Genomic DNA, 19,502 nt, shown 5'->3' with positions numbered 1-19,502 from the left:
GATCAGCCCAGAGTTGGCCAACCCCCAGGCATATAACCAAGCCCAGCAGAAGCCCTCACAGACCTGCACACCCGTGAGCTAGATACACGTGTTGTTCTAAGCCATGGGGGTTTGTGGCTATTTGTTACACAGCATTACTGTGGCCATAAATAACTGATACATCTTCCTTGTCTAAAAATCGCACTTAGAGACAGGATGCCTGCACCATGGGTTTTGCAGTCAAACGCTGTGCAAACAGTGGCACATGACAGTGAAAACTGCATACCTCTTCCATGGATCTAACAGAGACTCCCTCCTCCACCAAACTTTAGTCAGGTTCCTTTGAGTCCTCTTCTCAGCTGGGCCTTGATGTGGGCCTCCCCTAGCCCTTGGCCTGCCCAAGCCAGTTTTAGCAAAAGAATCCTGCTCAGTTTATCAAGAATCCTCCCACCCTTGATATCTGATCAAGTTCTTCTTTCCCCACCCCTGCTATCTATGTCCTTGGTCTGCCTTTAGTGAGAATCCTATGAAGCCAGTTTATCAAGAATCCCCCTACCCCGGCTGTTGAATCAAGCTCCCCTGAGTAATGTTGCATCTACTCACTCCCTCACTCCCGCTATAAATGCCTTGCTGTCCCTGCTGTGTGCAGAGTGGAGCTCAACCTCTCTGCCTTCTTCAGCAGTCTTGACCCCTATCGCAATAGTCTTGAATAAAGTTTTCCTTGCCATTTTTAGCAAGTATCTGGTGAATAATTTTTCTAATACAGAGCTAAGCCTTCATAGCTATACCTCCTAAGTAGATCTTCCAATATCAGAAAGACATCCAATTCTGGAGCCTCTGAACAATCGGAAAATTGTCACCGTCAACGTGATAACAAGACTCATCCATTTATTCATTTCTGCTATGAGTATTTATGGAGTGTCTGCTCTACAAAACAAACAGGAAGAGGACATGGCTGGGGCAGGCATGAACAGTGGGGTGTGTCCCACTTCAGCATGCCATGAGTAGAGTATAAAGGGGGTGAAGGACTAAGAGAGCGCAAAGGAAGGGGTGACTCAGGACACTTCACAGAAGGGGAGACGGTGGAGCTGGGGCTCCAGTCAACAGTATCAGTGATTAGAGAGTAAGGTTTCCGAGAGAAATTCTGCGAGGGAGGAGGGGACTGAGGAGACAAGTGGCGCGGAACGCGTGCTACAGTGTGACAGCGGTGAGGGGACACAGGCACTCAGAGTGCCTGCTTTCAGGATCCCAGAGGCAGGGTCATATTTTAGGACAAGGACAATGAGTCACTCCAGATGCCTCCCAAAGAAATGATGGCGGGGGGTGGGAATTGCAAGACAGCTACAGGGTACTTCTCCCGAGTCAGTACCGCAGGACATTGCAATGAGCCATCAGTTACAAAGTGAAGTGCTCAAGACACCAAGGCCTTTGCAGGTGGCACAGTCCCCAAATGCTCTGGAAGCAATATTTTCAGTAAGACCCACTTCTCAGCCTCTTTGGATTTCCACACAGTGAGAAATATCTATCCATCAGTTTCCTCCAGGCCGAATTTTCCCTTTCTGCTACCCCGTCAACCTACCCCACACACAAACTTTGTTTCCCTTTATGTTAAACAATGTTTTTAATTATAAAAGCCATGGTGTTTGTGAATGAAAAAAAAAATGGAAAATCAGAGTAAGTACAAAAAAGAAATGAAAATTGTCCATTGTTTCGCCACCCAAGCCCGATCACTGCTAATATTTTGGTGGATTTTCTTTCAGTCTTTCTTTGAGGCATAGTTGTGTTGGATTCTTTTACCTATGCAATCATGTGGTGCATTTAATTTTGTATCTAGCTCTTATGACTTAATATTATATCTTATGGGGCTGGGCGCGGTGGGTCACACCTGTAATCCCAGCACTTTGGGAGGCCGAGGTGGGTGGATCATGAGGTCAGGAGTTCAAGACCAGCCTGACCAACATGGTGAAACCCCGTTTCTACTAAGAATACAAAAATTAGCCAGGAGTGGTGGTGCATGCCTGTAATCCCAGCTACTCAGGAGGCTGAGGCAGGAGAATCGCTTGAACCTAGAAGGTGGAGGTTGCAGTGAGCCAAGATCGCACCACTGCACTCCAGCCCGGGTGACAGAGTGAGACTCCCATCTCCAAAACAAAAAATATTATATCTTATAGATTCAGTTTTATGATTAGTGTGGCTAGTGTGCAGTTTGACATCCTATATGGTATAAGTCTGAGTTTGTTACCACATAAAATTTCATGAAAATATTTTTATGTTGTTTTGTATTCATCATAAATATATATTTTTAAAGACAGGGTCCCACTCTGTTGCCCAGGATCAAGTTCAGTGGTGCAATCATAGCTCACTGCAGTTTTGAACTCCTGAACTCCAGCAGTCCTCCTGCCTAAGTCTCCTGAGTAGCTGGCACAAGTCACCACACCCTGCTAATTTTTTAAAAAATATTTTGTGGAGATGGCGGTCTTGCTATGTTGCCCAGGCTGATCTTGAATTCCTGGCCTCAAGGGATCCTCCCACCTTGGCCTCCTAAAGTGCTGGGATTACAAATAGGAGCCACCACACCCAGCTATAAACACCTTTTTAAGGACAACAGAATCATCTATGGAATAGATGTCTTGCATAATGGTTCTGCGAACATATTTGTGCCTGATAATCTTTAGAAATACTTCCTTGAGCTAGACTCCCAGAAGTGAAATCAGAAGGCCAAGGGGCATAAACATTTTTTAGGTAAGACGGTAAAGCATAGACTTCAGAGGACTGCCTGGTTCAAATCCCAATTCCGTTGCTACTGGGTGATCTTTGGCAAACTACTGTGTGGCAGATGCACCTGACAGCAATCGCTTAAGCATCATCTGAGGATAACCTTGATAACCTTGTGGTCTAAGAAGAATGTGAGTTCAGAGTCTTAAGTGAAGGAATCCAGGAGTGGCCAAACCCTTATCTAAGAAGGACACCCAAACCCCCAGCCATCCTTTGGAATGCAAGCTGTACAAGGGGTCAAGGCTCTTTGTTTGGGTTAAATGGAGGTTGCTAGGTGAAGGGTGCTAAGTGAAAATGCTATATCAATTACATGCTTTTCACAAATGGTAGTGGTTCTCCTGGCCAGCCTGCCGCCACTGGACTGTCCCTGTATGTAAGTCCCCCCAATAAACCCTACGTCTCCTTTGCTGTCTCCAGGTCACTTCTTCAGCTCTCAGACACAATGTCATCCCTACTGGAGTCCATCGGGGTTCGGCACAGCTACTTAACTGCTCTCTGCCTCTCTCTCTTCCACTATAAGATGGGGATGATTATAGTCCATCTGATACAGGAGCTAGAAAGAAATTCTTTAGGCAGTTAGTAAGGGTAAGAGAGTCCTTGGCAAGGCTTCCTTTTTAATAAAAAGCAGCCCCCAAATCATTTCTTTTCTAACAAAGGGCAGCCTGAAAAATCAAGCTGCAGACATAGATAAGCAAGCTGGAAGCTTGCGCAGGTGAATGCCAGCAGCTGTGCTAACAGAAAAGGGCTACCTAGTGTCTCACGCGTCCATGTGAAGAGACCACCAAACAGGCTTTGTGTGAGCAACAAGGCTGTTTATTTCACCTGGGTGCAGGCAGACTGAGTCCGAAAAGAGAGTCAGCAAAGGGTGGTGGATTATCACTAGTTCTTAGAGGTTTGGGGATAGGTGGTGGAGTTAGGAGCAATGTTTTGCAGGCAGGGGGTGGATCTCACAAAGTACATTCTCAAGGGTGGGGAGAATTATAAAGAACCTTCTTAAGGGTGGGGGAGATTACAAAGTACGCTGATCAGTTAGGGTGGGGCAGAAACAAATCACAACGGTGGAATGTCATCAGTTAAGGCTATTTTCCCTTCTTTTGTGGATCTTCAGTTGCTTCAGGCCATCTGGATGTATACGTGCAGGTCACAGGGGATATGATGGCTTAGCTTGGGCTCAGAGGCCTGACACCTAGGACCCAGGCATATCCAACATGGAGGCTTCTGTTTTGTCACCATGCGTGCAGTAAGCAAACAGGCAACATGACGCTGGCCAGGTAGAGAACACATCTGTATAAAAACAGATTAGGATGGGACAGCCGGCTTCTTTGCATGCTATGTAAATGGAATTGGTCCAACCAATCTTTTGCATCCTACGTACATCAGATACCACCTCCTCAAGCTCATCTATAAAACCAATGGCATCTTGCTGGGAACCCAGAAACCCGTTCAGGACCCCTTCCTCTGCACGAGGGAGCTTTCCTCTTTCTTTTGCCTATTAAACTTCTGCTCTTAAATTCACTCCTTGCTGGTCTGCATCCTCAATATCCTTGGTATGAGGCGATAAGGCTTGGGTATGTACTTCAGACAATGGGGGTTGTTGTCAGGATTAAGTGAGATAATATATATGAAATGTCACAAGTAGTGTGAGTAAGCCCTCAACAAATGTTCACATTTATGATTGGGATTATTACCATAATTATTATTGTCTTCATCACTGCTCTGACATTTATTGATTTATACATTTATATGTATATATAATTAATTATTGTGTATATGTTTATAATATGTTTACATATTATTTATATACATTAATATTTATGTTTATGTGTTGAATATATTTATGCCAAAAAACATACTTCCACTAGAATCTCGTTCACTGCAACAGCATTGCATATTATTTTCTTCTTTGCTGATTTGATGACAAAATATTTTAATTTGCATTTCTTTGAATCCAATTTAGGTTGATCTTTCAAAAGGTGTGTTTCATATTTTTCATGGTTTATGTTTGTTTTGTCAATTCTCTGTCCATATTCTTAGCCTACTTATGTATGGAGGTTGCTAGATGGAGGGTGCTAAGTGAAAATCGTACATCAACTACATGCTTTTTACAATGGTAGTGCTTCTCCTGGCCAGCCTGCCGCCACTGGACCGTCCCTGTATGTAAGTCCCCCCAATAAACCCTACGTCACCTTCGCTGTCTCCAGGTCACTTCTTCAGCATTTCCAACTCTTCCCAAACTCATACTGTCAGAGACGTTCCAACCAGAGCAACTGCATCTTGAATAGGGGCTGGGTAAAATAAGGCTGAGACCTACAGGGCTGCATTCCCAGGAGCTTAGACATCACTAGTCACAGGACGAGAAAGGAGGTCAGCAGGACTGGCACCACAGATACAGATCACAAAGACCCTGCTGATAAAACAGGATGTGGTAAAGAAACCCACCAAAACTAAGATGGTGATGAAAGTGACCTCTGCTCATCCTCACTGCTCATTATATGGTAATTATAACGCATTAGCATGCTAAAAGACACTCCTACCAGCATCGTGACAGTTTACAAATGCCACAGCAACATCAGGAAGTTACCCTATATAGTCTAAAAGGAGAGGAACCCTCCGTTCCAGGAATTGCCTGCTCCTTTCCCAGAAAACTCATAAATAACCCACCCCTTGTTTAGCACATAATAACAAAATAACCATAAAAATGGCCAGCCAGCAACCCTTGGTGCTGCTCTGTCTATGGAGTAGCCATTCTTTTTTCTCTTTGCTTTTCCTTTATGGACTTGCTTTCACTTTATGGACTCGCCCTGAATTCTTTCTTTTATGAGATCCAAGAACCCTCTCTTGGGGTCTGGATTGGGATCCCTTTCCAGTAACAGCACCTTCATTAAAATATTCCTGATGTGAGCACATCCGTTCTTTGCCAGGCAGAGTGGGAGGCCCTGGGGATAGAATGGAGACAGGGAGGGATAAACAGACATTCAATTGCAACCTGTCTTGAGGTGTGGGTGCCATGAGGTTATTTGAAAGGGGGATATTTCTAGTCTAGGGGATGGATGCAGGCTGCTCTGAGAAGGTGATGCTGGGCTGAGAGACCTGAAGGAGGAAAAAGGTGACAGAGAGAGGCAGAAGAAGAGGTGTGAGCGAGAGAGAGCCCAAACCACAATCATAGAAACCAGACAGTTGCCACAAAATACATGAAAGTGCTTCCGAATTCTCAGGCAGCTAGGCCTTCTAAAGAAATGTAATAATGGCTGGCTGCGGTGGCTCACGCCTGTAATCCCAGCACTTCAGGAGGCCGAGGCGGAAGGATCACCTGAGTCAGGAGTTCGAGACCAGCCTGGCCAACATGGGGATACCCTGTCTCTACTAAAAATACAAAAATTAGCTGGGTGTGGTGGCAGATGCCTGTAATCCCAGCTACTCGGGAGGCTGAGGCAGGAGAATCGCTTGAACCCGGGAGGCAGAGGTTGCTGTGAGCTGAGATTGAGCCATTGCACTCCAGCCTGGGTGACAGAGCAAGCCTCCATCGCAAAAGAAAGAAAGAAAGAAAAAGAAATATAATAATAACAGCTTGGCTCTTTCTAGAAGCTATGTGTAATCCAATTAGTTGTCTCCAAGGAAAGACAAATGCACCAGGAGAGACTGAGCCGTAGGCTCACCAGCGTCTGAGCTCTGCTTCCTGTCTATTTCCTCTTTAATTGTTTCAGTCAACAGAGCATTCCCTTGTGCTTCCAAAGTTTCCAGAAATGTGGCTTTTGACTTCTATGTTACACCTAACAACGTATTTTAGGATCAGCCCCAATGGCTGGAAATCAGCTCACACCGGAACTTCTAGGAAAGATTTACTATTGGCTGTTAGGAAACACAAGGGCTTTCAACTCTCAGCCAAAATTTCCTCCTTTTCTAGACGCTCAAAACCATGAGGGTCAAGGTTTTCTTCAAAATATGCAATGTTCATTCCATGTATTATATGGTTTCCAATAAATAATGTTGGAATGTTCCCTACCGTTAACTAGACCCTCAGATATTCAAGGGTCCTCTCCTGAAACCATTTCCAAGTCTGCTGGAATGTTTGAATTAACATAAGAAAAGAATCCAAAGGCTTAACTCCCAACCAGGAGAACACAATGACCAAATGCAAACAATATAATAGAAAAAGCTGGGTGCAGTGGTTCACGCCTGTAATCCCAGCACTTTGGGAGGCTGAGGCAGGCGGATCACGAGGTCAAGAGATCAAGACAATCTTGGCCAATATGGTGAAACCCCGTCTCTACTAAACATACAAAAATTAGCTGAGCGTGGCGGCGTGTGCCTGTAGTCCCGGCTATTCGGGAGGGTGAGGCAGGAGAATCGCTTGAACCTGGGAAGAAGAGGTTGCAGTGAGCTGAGATCCTGCCACTGCACTCCAGCCTGGCGGTAGAGTGAGACTCTGTCTCAAAAAAAAAAAAAAAAAAATTGAAAAAGAAAAAGAAAAGAAATGAGACGGCATTTCCCTGGGACAGTCTTTGTTATTGCACTAAAAGGAAAAGCAGATGAAGGGATGTCAGGTTGAGAGAATCTACCAGCACCTGATCCATCCTGTAGCTTTGAGCTATTCTCCATCCTCTACCTTTTGTACCTTACCCATTACCCCTTACATTATTTGAGGGCAAAATTCTTTGAGTTGTCCTCAGAATGGAGACCAAATCAAAGGCCCCTCTTCCACCACTTTGGACAGGGAGAAATTAAGCTCTGGTCTCACAACTGGTGGCACAAAACCAGAATGTTTTAGGGTAATTGCCTCACATAAAGTAAAAGTTAATTAATTGATTAGTCAAATATGAGAAGGGCTTCCTGCTCCGTTTGTTCAGAACGCTCCTAGTTGCCATAGCACAATCAGTAAGTCAAGAAGTATTTTTTCAGCTTGTTCTGTATTAAGTGCTCAGAGGCATAGTGGAAAAAAAAAATCGCCTTGCCTGCCAAGAGCCCATAGTTTATTTGGTTTAAATGGTCTGAAATTGTCTCTTCAAAAAGTCAATGTCATAGGGAGAAAAGGTGGAGGAATAAGATTAAAAGAAACAGAACAACCAAACACAATGAGATAAACTTCCTTGGTTCTTGGTTTGAAAAAAGAGGTAAGAAATACATTTTGTGAACAATTGGAGAAAATGGAATATTAGATGATATTTGGGAATTGTTGCAACTTTTCTTACATGTGATGACGATTTTGTGATTCTGCAGGAGAAAGTCATTATTCACAGAAGATGCATGCGAAACCGCCCTTGCAGAATTACGACTGAGACGGTAAAAGAGATCTAACATAGCTGACTCCATCTTGCTTCCAACCTCCAAGCTGTCTTTGTTCATTCCTGGGCGTAGGCTGAACTAACTTTGGGAGAAACTTAGTTTCTAGTTTCTAGTTTAAACAAAGATGGTAACAGCCCTTTTCCCAAAGCAGACCTCCTTCTTGCCTGGGGACTAGACTAACATTAGCCACAGGATTAGAAATTGCAGTTTAGGAGTCATGCAGCTGGAGGCTACAAGATTCTGACCCTCCCTAAAGTGCTCCTAAGATCAGGGCTTGAGATATTTTGCAGACCCTGCACGTGATGCATCAGCTGGCACCACCCAGATGCATAAACTGGCTCATCTGATCTTGTGGCCCCCACCCAGGAACTGACTCAGCACAAGAAGACAGCTTTGACTCTCTATGATTTCATCTCTGACCAATCAGCACTCCTGGCTCACTGGCTTCCCCACACCCACCAAGTTATCCTTAAAAACTCTGCTCCCTGAATGTTTGGATAGAATGATTTGAGTAATAATAAAACTCAGGTCTTCTGCACAGCTGGCTCTGCATGAATTACTCTTTCTCTATTGCAATTCCCCTGTCTTGATGAATCAGCTCTCTAGGCAGCGGGCAAGGTGAACCCCTTGGGCATTCACCTTGCTAAGGAAGTATTTAGGGGTGAAGGCTCATGATGTCTGCAATTTGCTTTCAAGTGATTGGGCAAATAATATATAAACACAGATAGGTAAGGTGGGTGGATAGATAGAGAGATAGAGATAATAGGTCATAAAGCAAATAGGGCAAAATGTTAACAATTGCTAAATCCAGCTGGTAGACATATGGAGCTCACCTTTCTTTATGTTTAAAACTGTTGGCCGGGCACAGTGGCTCACGCCTGTAATCCCAGCACTTTGGGAGGCCGAGGCGGGCGGATCATGAGGTCAGGAGATCGACACCACGGTGAAACCCCGTCTCTACTAAAAACACGCAAAAAAATTAGCCAGGCACGGTGGCGGGTGCCTGTAGTCCCAGCTACTCAGGAGGCCGAGGCAAGAGAATGGCGTGAACCCAGGAGGCAGAGCTTGCAGTGAGCCGAGATCGCATCACTGCACTCCAGCCTGGGCGACAGAGCAAGACTCTGTCTCAGAAAAACAAACAAACAAACAAAACTGTTCATAATAAAAAGTGTTATCTATCAAACTGATTGTTTATAATATTACTTACATGAGATATAATATTGCTAGTATGATACTCTTACTAGGGGATATGTCATCCAAGCTTTTTAAAAATCTACGTGCTCAGATGGCTGGGTGCTGTGGTGCATGCATGTAATACCAGCACTTTAGGAGGCCGAGGCAGGAGGATCACGAGGTCAGGAGTTCGAGACCAGCCCGACTAACATGGTGAAACCCTGTCTCTACTAAAAATACAAAAATTAGCCAGGGGTGGTGGCGCGTGCCTATAATCCCAGCTACTCAGGAGGCTGAGGCAGTAGAATCGCTTGAATCTGGGAAGTGAAGGTTGCAGTGAGCCAAGATCGTGCAACTGCGCTCCAGCCTAGGTATCAGAGTGAGACTCTGTCTCAAAAAAAAAAAAAAAAAAAAATCTACCTGTTCAGATTGGCATTGTGTGAGAAAACCATTCTTTCTTCTCAGAAACAGAAGGTCTGTTATTAAAGATATATAATAACAACTACAATTAATGCTTTACTATTTTCAAACATTTTTATGCATATTATATCATCTAGATCAGGGGTTGGCAAGTTTTTCTATAAAGGTATATCTAGTAAATGGCTTTGTAGGCCAGTCTCTGTCACAAACATTCAACTCTGTCCTTGTGGTGTGGTTATGGCTATGCTCCAATAAATCTTTATTTGCAAAACAGGTGCCAGATTAGATTTAGTCCAAGGACTGTAATTTGCCAACCCCTGATTTAAATCCTCTCAATTATGGGTAGGTACTATTTTCATCACCAGTTCACAGATGAAGAAACCAAAGCTCTGCAAGGTTGGTACTTGTTCAGCCAGTTGAATGATAAAACTGACATTCCAGTCCAATGTTCTTTTTTTTTTTTTTTTGGTTGTGGGGCAGGAACGGAGTTTCACTCTTCTCACCCAGGTTGGAGTGCAATGGCGTGATCTCGGCTCACTGCAACCTGTGCCTTCCAGGTTCAAGTGATTCTCCTGCCTCAGCCTCCTGAGTAGCTGGGATTACAGGCATGCACCACCGCACCTGTCTAATTTTGTATTTTTAGTAGAGACGGGGTTTCTCCATGTTGGTCAGGCTGGTCTCCAACTCCCAACCTCAGGTGATCCGCCCCCCTGGGCCTCCCAAAGTGCTGGGATTACAGGTGTGAGCCACGGCACCCAGCCTCAAGCCAATGTTCTATTTCCACTATATCACATCTAAAACAAACAAAACTGCCACACTGTCCCACAGAATAACTGTGCCGTTTTACACGTCTACCAGAAATATATATTTGATCCAGTCTCTCTGCATCCTTAACAGCATTTGATGTTGCCACTATTTTTTATTTTAGCCATTCTGATAGGTTTGTAATAACATATTGTTGTTATTTTGTGTTTTCCTAATTGCTAATGATGTTGAATATCTTTTCATGTGCTTATTTGTCATCTTTAATCTTCTTCAATAAAATGTCTCTTCACATCTTTTGCCCATGTTCTAGTCAAATTGTTTGCATTTTTACTACTGAGTTTTGAGAGTTCTTTTTTATATTCTAGATATGAGTTCTTCGTCACATATGTGGTTTACAAATATTTTCTCCCACTCTCCAGTTTGTCTTCTCATCCTCTAAAAGGGGTATTTTGCAGGGCAAATTTTTTTCATTTTGATGAATCCCAATTTACCAGTTTTTCACTTTATGATCATGTTTTTGGTGTCAGGTCAAAGAACTGTCTATCACTAGATCCTAAATATTTTTCTCCTGTTTCCTAAGAGTTTAAAAATTTTATGTTTTACATTTAAGCACACAATTCATTATGAGTTAATTTTTGTAAAGGTGTGAGACATAGGTCAAGGCTCATATTTTTGTCCATGGATGAATAATAGCTCCAGCACCAGTTTTACAAGGAGATAACTTTTTTCCATTGAATTTTTTTTGCACTTGGGACAAAACTCAGTTAGGTATGTTTGTGTGTATCTATTTCTGGGTTGTCTAATTGGTCAATTGATCTATGTGTTTGTCAATACTATACAGTCTTTATTACTGTAGCTGTACAATAAGTCTTGAAATTGGATAGATCTTCCCGGGATTTTTTTTTTTTTTTTTGAGATGGAGTCTTGCTCTGTTGCCCAGGCTGGAGTGCAGTGGCATGATCTCAGCTCACTGCAACCTCCACCTCCCAGGTTCAAGCAATTCTCCTGCCTCAGCCTCCCAGGTAGCTGGGGTTACAGGTGCCCACCACCGCACCCAGCTAATTTTTGTATTTTTAGTAGAGATGGGGTTTCACCATCTTGGCCAGGCTAGTCTCAAACTCCTGACCTCGTGATCCACCCACCTCAGCCTCCCAAAGTGCTGGGATTACAGGCGTGAACCACCACACCCAGCCCTTCCTTGGGATTTTGATGGGAATTGTGTTAAATCTGTATAGCAATTTGGGGAGAACTGACATTTTTATTATGTTGACTCTTCCAATCCATGAACATGGTATGCCTCTCCATTCTTCTTCCTGCTCAACAAGAAACCTTCTGAGAACAAATTGGCTTCCTCTGTATGTCTGCCTTAAAGAAGATAATGCACTACTCACCCTGGCATGCATAATCCAGTAAATGTGTAAAACTGGCCATCCCAAAGTTAAAACTATGAGAAACAAGTTTTCAATTAGTAGATTAACAAACTAAAAATAATACTGGTACCCAGTGTTGGCATGGGTTTGGGGAGACAGGCATTCTCGTACACTGTTGGGTGTGAGGGTAAATTGGTACAATTTTTTCCAGAGTACAATTTGACAATATGTATGGAAAAAAATCCTAGAATTTTGTGTACTCTTTGGCCCATGCTTCTACTTTTAGCAATCTACATAGAAGATGCCAATTTATAAGACTCCATCTTGCGCCGGGCATGGTGGCTCATGCCTGTAATCCCAGCACTTTGGGAGGCCGAGGTGGGTGGATCACCTGAGGTCAGGAGTTCAAGACCAGCCTGACCAACATAGTGAAACCTCGTCTCTACTAAATACAAAAAATTAGCCAGGTATGGTGGCACATGCCTGTAATCCTAGTTAAGGCAGGAGAATCACTTGAACCCAGGAGGTGGAGGTTGCAGTGAGCCAAGATCTTGCCATTGCACTCCAGCCTGGGCAACAAGAGCGAACTCTACCTCAAAAAAAAAAAGATTCCATCTTGCTAGGAAACTCATTCTTGCTCTCCTGATGGCCTTGAAGAAGCAAGCTGCCATGTGTGAACTGCTGACAGGTAGCAAAGACCAAAAAAAAATGGAAGCTCTTAGTCCCACAGCCATAAGGAAATGAATTCTTCCAACAGCTGAGTGGACTTGGAAGAAGATTCTTCCCCAGTTGAGCCTCCAGATGAGAACACAGCCCAGTCAACAACTTGACTGCAGCCACATAAGCCCTATGGATCTGGGCTCCTGATCAGCAGAAATTGTGAGGTAACATCTTGTTTTAAGCCACTAAGTTTGTGGTAGTTTGTTATACAGTGATAAAACTAATATACTATGTTAAGCAAATAATGGACTAGTGAAGAAAGATTTATACCAAAAAGCATCAATCAATATTTATACTCACAAAAGTGAAAAATCAAAATGTCCCAAACCAGAAAATTAAATAAATTACAGTGTGTTACAATAAAAGAGTATATAGCCATTAAAAAAGCCGTGTATATTTGTTGATATAGAAGGACATTCATGATTTATTTTTAAGTTGAAAAATAGGCTAAAAATATTATGTAGTGTATCCTATCCTGTTTTCACTAATATATTTATATACTATATATTTATTGTTTGCATGTATGTTTATATGCATATATTTGTATAGGAAAAGGCTTGATATGGCTATGTATGTCTGACTTAAAGAAGATAATGCACTACTCATTATCACATGCATGATCCAACCAGAGTACTTTGTGACACGGCTGGCACCAAAGATATGTAGCAAGGGAGGCAGCCTAGTGTAGTGGTTAAGAGCTCAGCCTATGGAGGCTGGACCACCTGGGTTCAAATCCTGGCCCCACAATTTGTAGGCTGTGAGACCTTGGTAAAGTTACCTAATCTTTCCACATGTAGTTTCCCATGTAAAATAGGATGGTAGTAGTACCCCCTCTATGGTGATGCCATGGGATCCAATGGGCTGGTATTTGCAAAGCACTTAAAAATAGTACCCGGCTTATCAATAACACCTGCTCTTAATGTTTATCTCTCGGTAGTGGAGTTTCTTTTTATTTTACTCAACTTTTACCTATGGTGCACCATTTATGCAATTTAAATCAGTTAGAATTTTGACTTTATGTATCAGTCTCATGAAAGTGCTAGAGATTGGGGATTGGGGAAAAGGTTACAGAGGCACAGAATTTAAACTCGATCTTGAAGGAGGAGAATTTCAACAAGAGGGCAAGGGATGCCACTCTTCCCAGCTGAGGGAGCAGCTTAAGCAACGACACAGCAGAAAGAGGGCAGAGTGTTTTGATGATATGCCCAAAGCAGCTCTTATATTGAACAAGCATGACCCATCATATACAATCAGAAAGCAACTTGCTCTTTGTCTCCCACTGTCCTTCTAAGTGCACCCTGCAGGGACAATTCTCCTTCCCGTAGGTGAAGTATGGAGCAGATCCTTTACCTTTTCTTGTCAGTCTGAGGTAGAATGGTTCTTCAAGCCTTTTGAGTCCTAAAACCCAATTTCAATGCCATCATTAAAATGTCCAGTTCATATAAAAATCAGAACTCCAAACTTGATTTAAAGTTGATTGTTCTCCCTGCCCCCAGTTCAGGCCCCATTTTTTTTCTCTTTCCCTTTCTAGGTGTTGTTCCCCTTTCCTATCTTGATGTCTAACCCCTTTGGGAGGGAGAAAAGGTAATGGGAGCCCCAAAATTGGGACATGGCTGGCATCATGAGGGCCATCTGGCTTCCGGTTCTCTGGTCTTTGTATGTTTAAAGCTGAGCCCTTCTCTCATGGGTACCTTTGTAGGGTCTCACCCAACAGCCCCCTGGGGCAGGCTGATGCCTGGGCCAGGGCCTTTCTTGGCCGTGGGAATCCTGTGGCACCACCCACTTCTATTTACTAAAGGCTGTTCACCCTCTTGGTCAGGTGGCCTCTGTAGCAGGACCTAAGACAACCTCATACTGGCTGCTGCCATGCCATGGCCCACTAGCTGGTCCAGGAGATAATATTCAAGCATGCTTTACCCAGCAAACTCTTGGTGGACAGAACATCCAATACAAACACCTCTCCCTCCCCTTTCCCAAAACACAGCTTACCAGCCCCTCTCTCAGCCTTTAAGGAGCCAGATAACAGACCACTCTGTCCAATCTTAAGAAGACAAAGCTCTCTGAGGGGTCAGAATAAAGCTCCTCTCCCACTGGGTAGAAGAGACAGAAGGGACTCACAGAAAAACTACACCCAAAGAACCCTCTTCCTTTTTTTTTTTTTTTTTTTGAGATGGAGTCTCACTCTGTCACCCAGGCTGGGGTGCTGTGGTGTGATCTTGGCTCACTGCAACCTCCGCCTCCCAGGTTCAAGCAGTTCTCCTGCCTCAGCCTTCAAAGTAGCTGGGACTACAGGCACATGCCGCCACGTCCAGCTAATTTTTTGTGTATTTAAGTAGAGACGGGGTTTCACCTTGTTACCCAGGCTGGTTGCGAACTCCTGAGCTCAGGCAATCCGCCCGCCTCAGCCTCCCAAAGTGCTGGGATTACAGGCGTGAGCCACCGTGCCCGGCCCAAAGAACCCTCTTCTTACTTGCAGTGCTGGACCCTTTTTATATTCCTGATGTGTGGGGGGTTTAGGACCCAAATACTCAAGTTGACAGGCACTTCTTTGGAATATTCTGCCCATGGAGGCAGCCCCTCCTTTGGAATATCATGTCTGTTGTCTCGGTGCTTCTGCCCAAGCCTCCATGAACACACCCTCTCCATCTGCACACTCCCGTGTACCTGGCACTCACCTGTGGCAAAAGGTGAGGCTGGAAAGACAGGGCAGGCCGGACGAGAAAGTCCAGGAGGAGGAGGAAAAAGGGTTAGAAAGACAGAGTGGGCAAGCTAGGGCGGTGTGAAGTTTGGGCCTTTTAGGGAAAAGGCAAAGGTTGGGAAGAGCTGAGCATGGAGGGTGCTGGGGAGCCATGGAAGATAGACTTGGGCTTCCTTTGGACCCAGGTTCCCAGGTGCTTGGCACAGACCTCCCGATTTTGGAGGCTGCATGCAGGGCTGACTTATCCACCAGGCACAGCAGGAACAGCGCCTAGGCCCAAAATACTTGTAGGAGTGCAAGAAATGTTTTTCTTTCTTTTAAAATCAGAGCGAGGAACAAACCCTGAACTTTCGTTGAAGACAATGCTTGAAAACATAATATTAATAGATTTGCCTTTATACCAATGCAGTTGTAAAATGTCATTCTTAAATTTTATTTTTATGGAGGAAGAGACCTTCAAAGGCAAAAATGCCTAGTGTCCACCAAAGTCCAGATGCGGCCCAACTAGCTTCTTGCCTTTCATTTCTGGTTGTTGAACACATGGTTACTCAGGCAATCTCAAAGTCTGACCTGGAATCCCCTGCTCTTTCGACTCCCCCATTTTTTCACTTTCACCCAGGCTGCCCTGGCCCCAGCTTCACTGAGGCGTTCAGTTCTTGGCCTCGATCTTGTTTGGTCAGTCAGCCTACTGGTCTTTTCTCAGCAGCCCTAACCTGGGACTCGATCCTTCTGACCTCACTCCTGTTAGGTACACGGCCACCGCTCCCTTTGAGCACCCCGAACCCTGAGTCAGTCAAGTCTCCTCTTCCTCTGCTCCTAACCCTTATGGTTTCCTCTTGGTGGAGAAGTCCGCCATATTGTGCCAAAGATGCAGCCACAAATATGAGCCCAGGCGTCCATCCGGACCTCAGCGTTGCCTGGCAACCTTCTCATCCTACCTTATCTCACTTCCGGGTCTCCCATGACATTTTCCTCGTCTCCTACAGGAGACTTGGAAACTTGGAGGTCGGTCAGCCTGTTGCTTAAGTCATGGAGACTACCTTGCGAGATGGTCTCATATCAGCGTCTTCCCTGCTAACTTTCTCGGCATCTTATCTCACCTTTTCCTCTTCCCCTACTGTCTAAAAACAACACTGTTCCCTCCTTCTTCCTGCCCTCAGTTCAGACCCCATAGTTGCTTCCCTATTTCCCTTTCTAGGTGTTGCTCTCCTTTCCCATCTTGATGTCCTACCCCTACGGAGGGGGAAAAGGTGATGGGAGACCAAAAGTTGTGACCACCACAGACAGTCCCCTTTCTCTTCTCATCAGCCTAGGAACATCCTTGAATCTTCTGTCTCCGAAAATCACATGTCAAGCTAATAGTCCAGCTTAGAAACCCTCCGGCAAGAAAAGAAAGTGGACGTATTGGTTGCCTCTGCAAGGGCAGTGCAGGCTCAGGAACTTGGGGGCAGAAGAGGGAAGGAGGCGGACTTTGCAGGATTTGCTGTATCACTTTTTGAACAGGACACCTGTTCAAAGGGTAGCATTCCTCCCTCCTTGCCCTTCACTGCTAAGCAGCTCCCTGGGAGATATTTTCTTCAAAAACACCATTTTTTCCTGTGCCATGTACTGATCTATTCTTGAGAATCCCAGGTATTAGGCGTTTTGTGTGTTCCCAAATTTTTGACACTATAAAGCTGTCATAACAACCACCTTTTACCTAAGTCTACGATCATATCTCTGATGATTTCCTTAGAGGAAATAGCTGAAAGCGACCCACCAGACAGATTCCTAAAAGCAAATTACTAGATCAATGAGGTTTCTCATCTACAGTGCCAAACTCTCCCTCTAGAAGGTGGTTGCAAACTCAGATGTCCATAGCAATGCCAAGGAGTGCCGTTCCCCACGCAGTCTCCCACCTTCGAATATTTTTAGTCTTCACTATTTTAATAAGTTAAAATATGTTATCTCGTGGTGTTAATTTGCATTTCTTTTATAATTGCTGAGGTTGAAAATTTGTTCAACTTTCCATTTGCAATTAGTTATTATCCAATTATAGTTCATCTTCAATAAATTGTCTATTCATAGTCTTTGCTCATTTTTCTTTTGGGAGTTTAGTCTTATTAGTACAAGTACTTTGTTCTCTTAAGGATATGACTGATTGATGTATTTTATAAGATATTTATTTTTCCCAGTTCATCTTTCATTTTTCATTTTCTATGAGATTTATATATATATACATGTATGTAGAAATTAAATTTTTTAAGTGGCCAATCTATTTACTTTGAGGATTTTTTTCTATTGCTTTTACACTTGGAAAGAATGAATTTTCTTATCCAGGAACTACATAAATAATATCACATATATTTTTTCTTAATTTATCCACTATTTTATTTAGGTACATATTTCCTTGATGCAACTAAAATTTATTTGGAATTTAGGATGAGACTCTTAACTGCTTTTTTCCTCTAAGAGTCAATTTTCCCCAAACTGTTTATTAACTATGTATTAACCAAGCTTTCCCTTCCACTCTTTAGGGGGTGCTTCCTTTATTGTAATTTCTTTTTTTGAGATGGAGCTTCACTCTGTGGCCCAGGCTGAAGTGCAATGGCATGGTCTTGGCTCACTGCAACCTCTGCCTCCTGGGTTCAAGCAATTCTCCTGCCTCAGCCTCCCAAGTAGCTGGGATTACAGGCATGCGCCACTACGCCCGGCTAATTTTTGTATTTTTAGTAGAGACAGGTTTTCATCATATTGGTCAGGCTGGTCTTGAACTCCTGGCCTCAGGTGATCTGCCCCCCTTGGCCTCCCAAAGTGCTGAGATTACAGGCGTGAGCCACCGTGCCCGGCCTCTCTATTGTAATTAAACATACTATTTTAAGTCATCTGTTTTTGCGCTCTCTGTTCTGTCCCTTGATCTGCCTGAGTATTCTTGACTTAATGCCATTCTCTGTAACTATTATAGCTTTACAATATGTTTACCATCTAGTAGAATAAGTCCCCCTCAATTAGTTTTCTTACACAAAATTCTCACCCTTACCTATTTATTCTTCCTAATAAACGTCAGAATCATTTTGTCAAGTTTCTAAAACTCTAAGAGGTTAGTTCAACTGATTCTACCTCCACATCTTTTTTATCCATCTATTTCTTTTTATTTCCACCATTATTCTTCTAGGTCTTCCCATTGCTTTCCTGGTAAATAATTGATTTTTCTCCTGGTGAACTTATCAGTTGGTTTGCTCAGGGCACCCTGAGACCCCCGTTAAGAACATCAGCTGATACTTACAACACTAGGTTAAACTTAACCCACACAATTAGTACTCTATATGCATCAACTGTAGCAAATAGTATTACTGTTCCAAAATGTCTGTCATCCGTCCCTGAGGGGGGATTATACTTTCTTTTTTTTTTCTTGGAGATGGAGTCTCACTCTGTCACCCAGGCTGGAGTACAGTGGCACAATCTCAGTTCACTGCAACCTTCGCCTCCCAGGTTCAAGTGATTCTCCTGCCTCAGCCTCCTGAGTATCTGGGATTACAGGTGCATGCCACCACACCTGGCTAATTTTTTGTATTTTAGTAAAGATGGGGTTTCACCGTGTTGCCCAGGCTGGTCTTGAACTCCCAAGCTCAGGCAATCTGCCTGCCTCAGCCTCCCAAAGTGCTAGGATTACAGGTATGAGCCACTGTGCCTGGCCAGAGGACTATACTTTCTTGTCCCATTGGTGACAGAGCAGCTCTATCATCCTGGGTTCCAGAGCGAAGAGGACATGGAAAATAGCCATAGAGGAACCAAAATGAACATGCAACACGAGCAAGAAAGGAACCTCTGTTGACATAAGTTGGTAAAATATTGGCAATGTTTGTTACTGCAGCCTAACATAGCCCATCCTGACTGATACACTCAGGAAAATTGTAGAAGACAGTGTGGCAATTCCTCAGAGACATAAAGACAGAAATACCATTTGACCCAGCAATCCTATTACTGGGTATATACCCAAAAGAATATAAATCATCCTATTATAAAGACACATGCACGTGTATGTTCACTGCAGCACTAATCACAATAGCAAAGACATGGAATCAACCCAAATGCCCATCAATAGGCTGGATAAAGAAAATGTACATATACACCATGGAATACTATGCAGACATAAAAAAGAATGAGATCATGTCTTTTGCCGAGACATGGATAGAGCTGGAGGCCATTATCCTTAGCAAACTAATGCAGGAAGAGAAAACTACATACCAGAAGTTCTCATTTATAAGTGGGAGCTAAATGATGAGAACACATAGACACATAGAGGGGAACAACACACACTGGGGCCTATCAGAGGGTGT

General features: G+C 43.6%; 1 protein-coding gene across 2 annotated transcripts in view, besides 1 other annotated feature; it reads right to left on the bottom strand.

The window, feature by feature from the left end:
- Nucleotides 1-19,502, bottom strand: part of ZNF664-RFLNA (ZNF664-RFLNA readthrough) — a 342,810-nt gene that overhangs the window by 237,064 nt on the left and 86,244 nt on the right. The window lies entirely within an intron of this gene.
- Nucleotides 6,390-7,196: an enhancer, noted in NCBI's record as "NANOG-H3K27ac hESC enhancer chr12:124556312-124557118 (GRCh37/hg19 assembly coordinates)". NCBI's record gives its function as "activates a minimal SCP1, AML or CMV promoter by ChIP-STARR-seq in naive and primed H9 embryonic stem cells {active_cell/tissue: H9 hESC(naive and primed)}" and the evidence as "EXISTENCE:reporter gene assay evidence [ECO:0000049][PMID:30033119]".

The sequence above is a fragment of the Homo sapiens genome, chromosome 12 (genome assembly GCF_000001405.40).
Source record: "Homo sapiens chromosome 12, GRCh38.p14 Primary Assembly".
Classification (NCBI taxonomy): domain Eukaryota; kingdom Metazoa; phylum Chordata; class Mammalia; order Primates; family Hominidae; genus Homo; species Homo sapiens.
The sequence above is the reverse complement of the archived record's forward strand: the minus strand, read 5'-3'. Positions and strand labels throughout refer to the sequence as shown.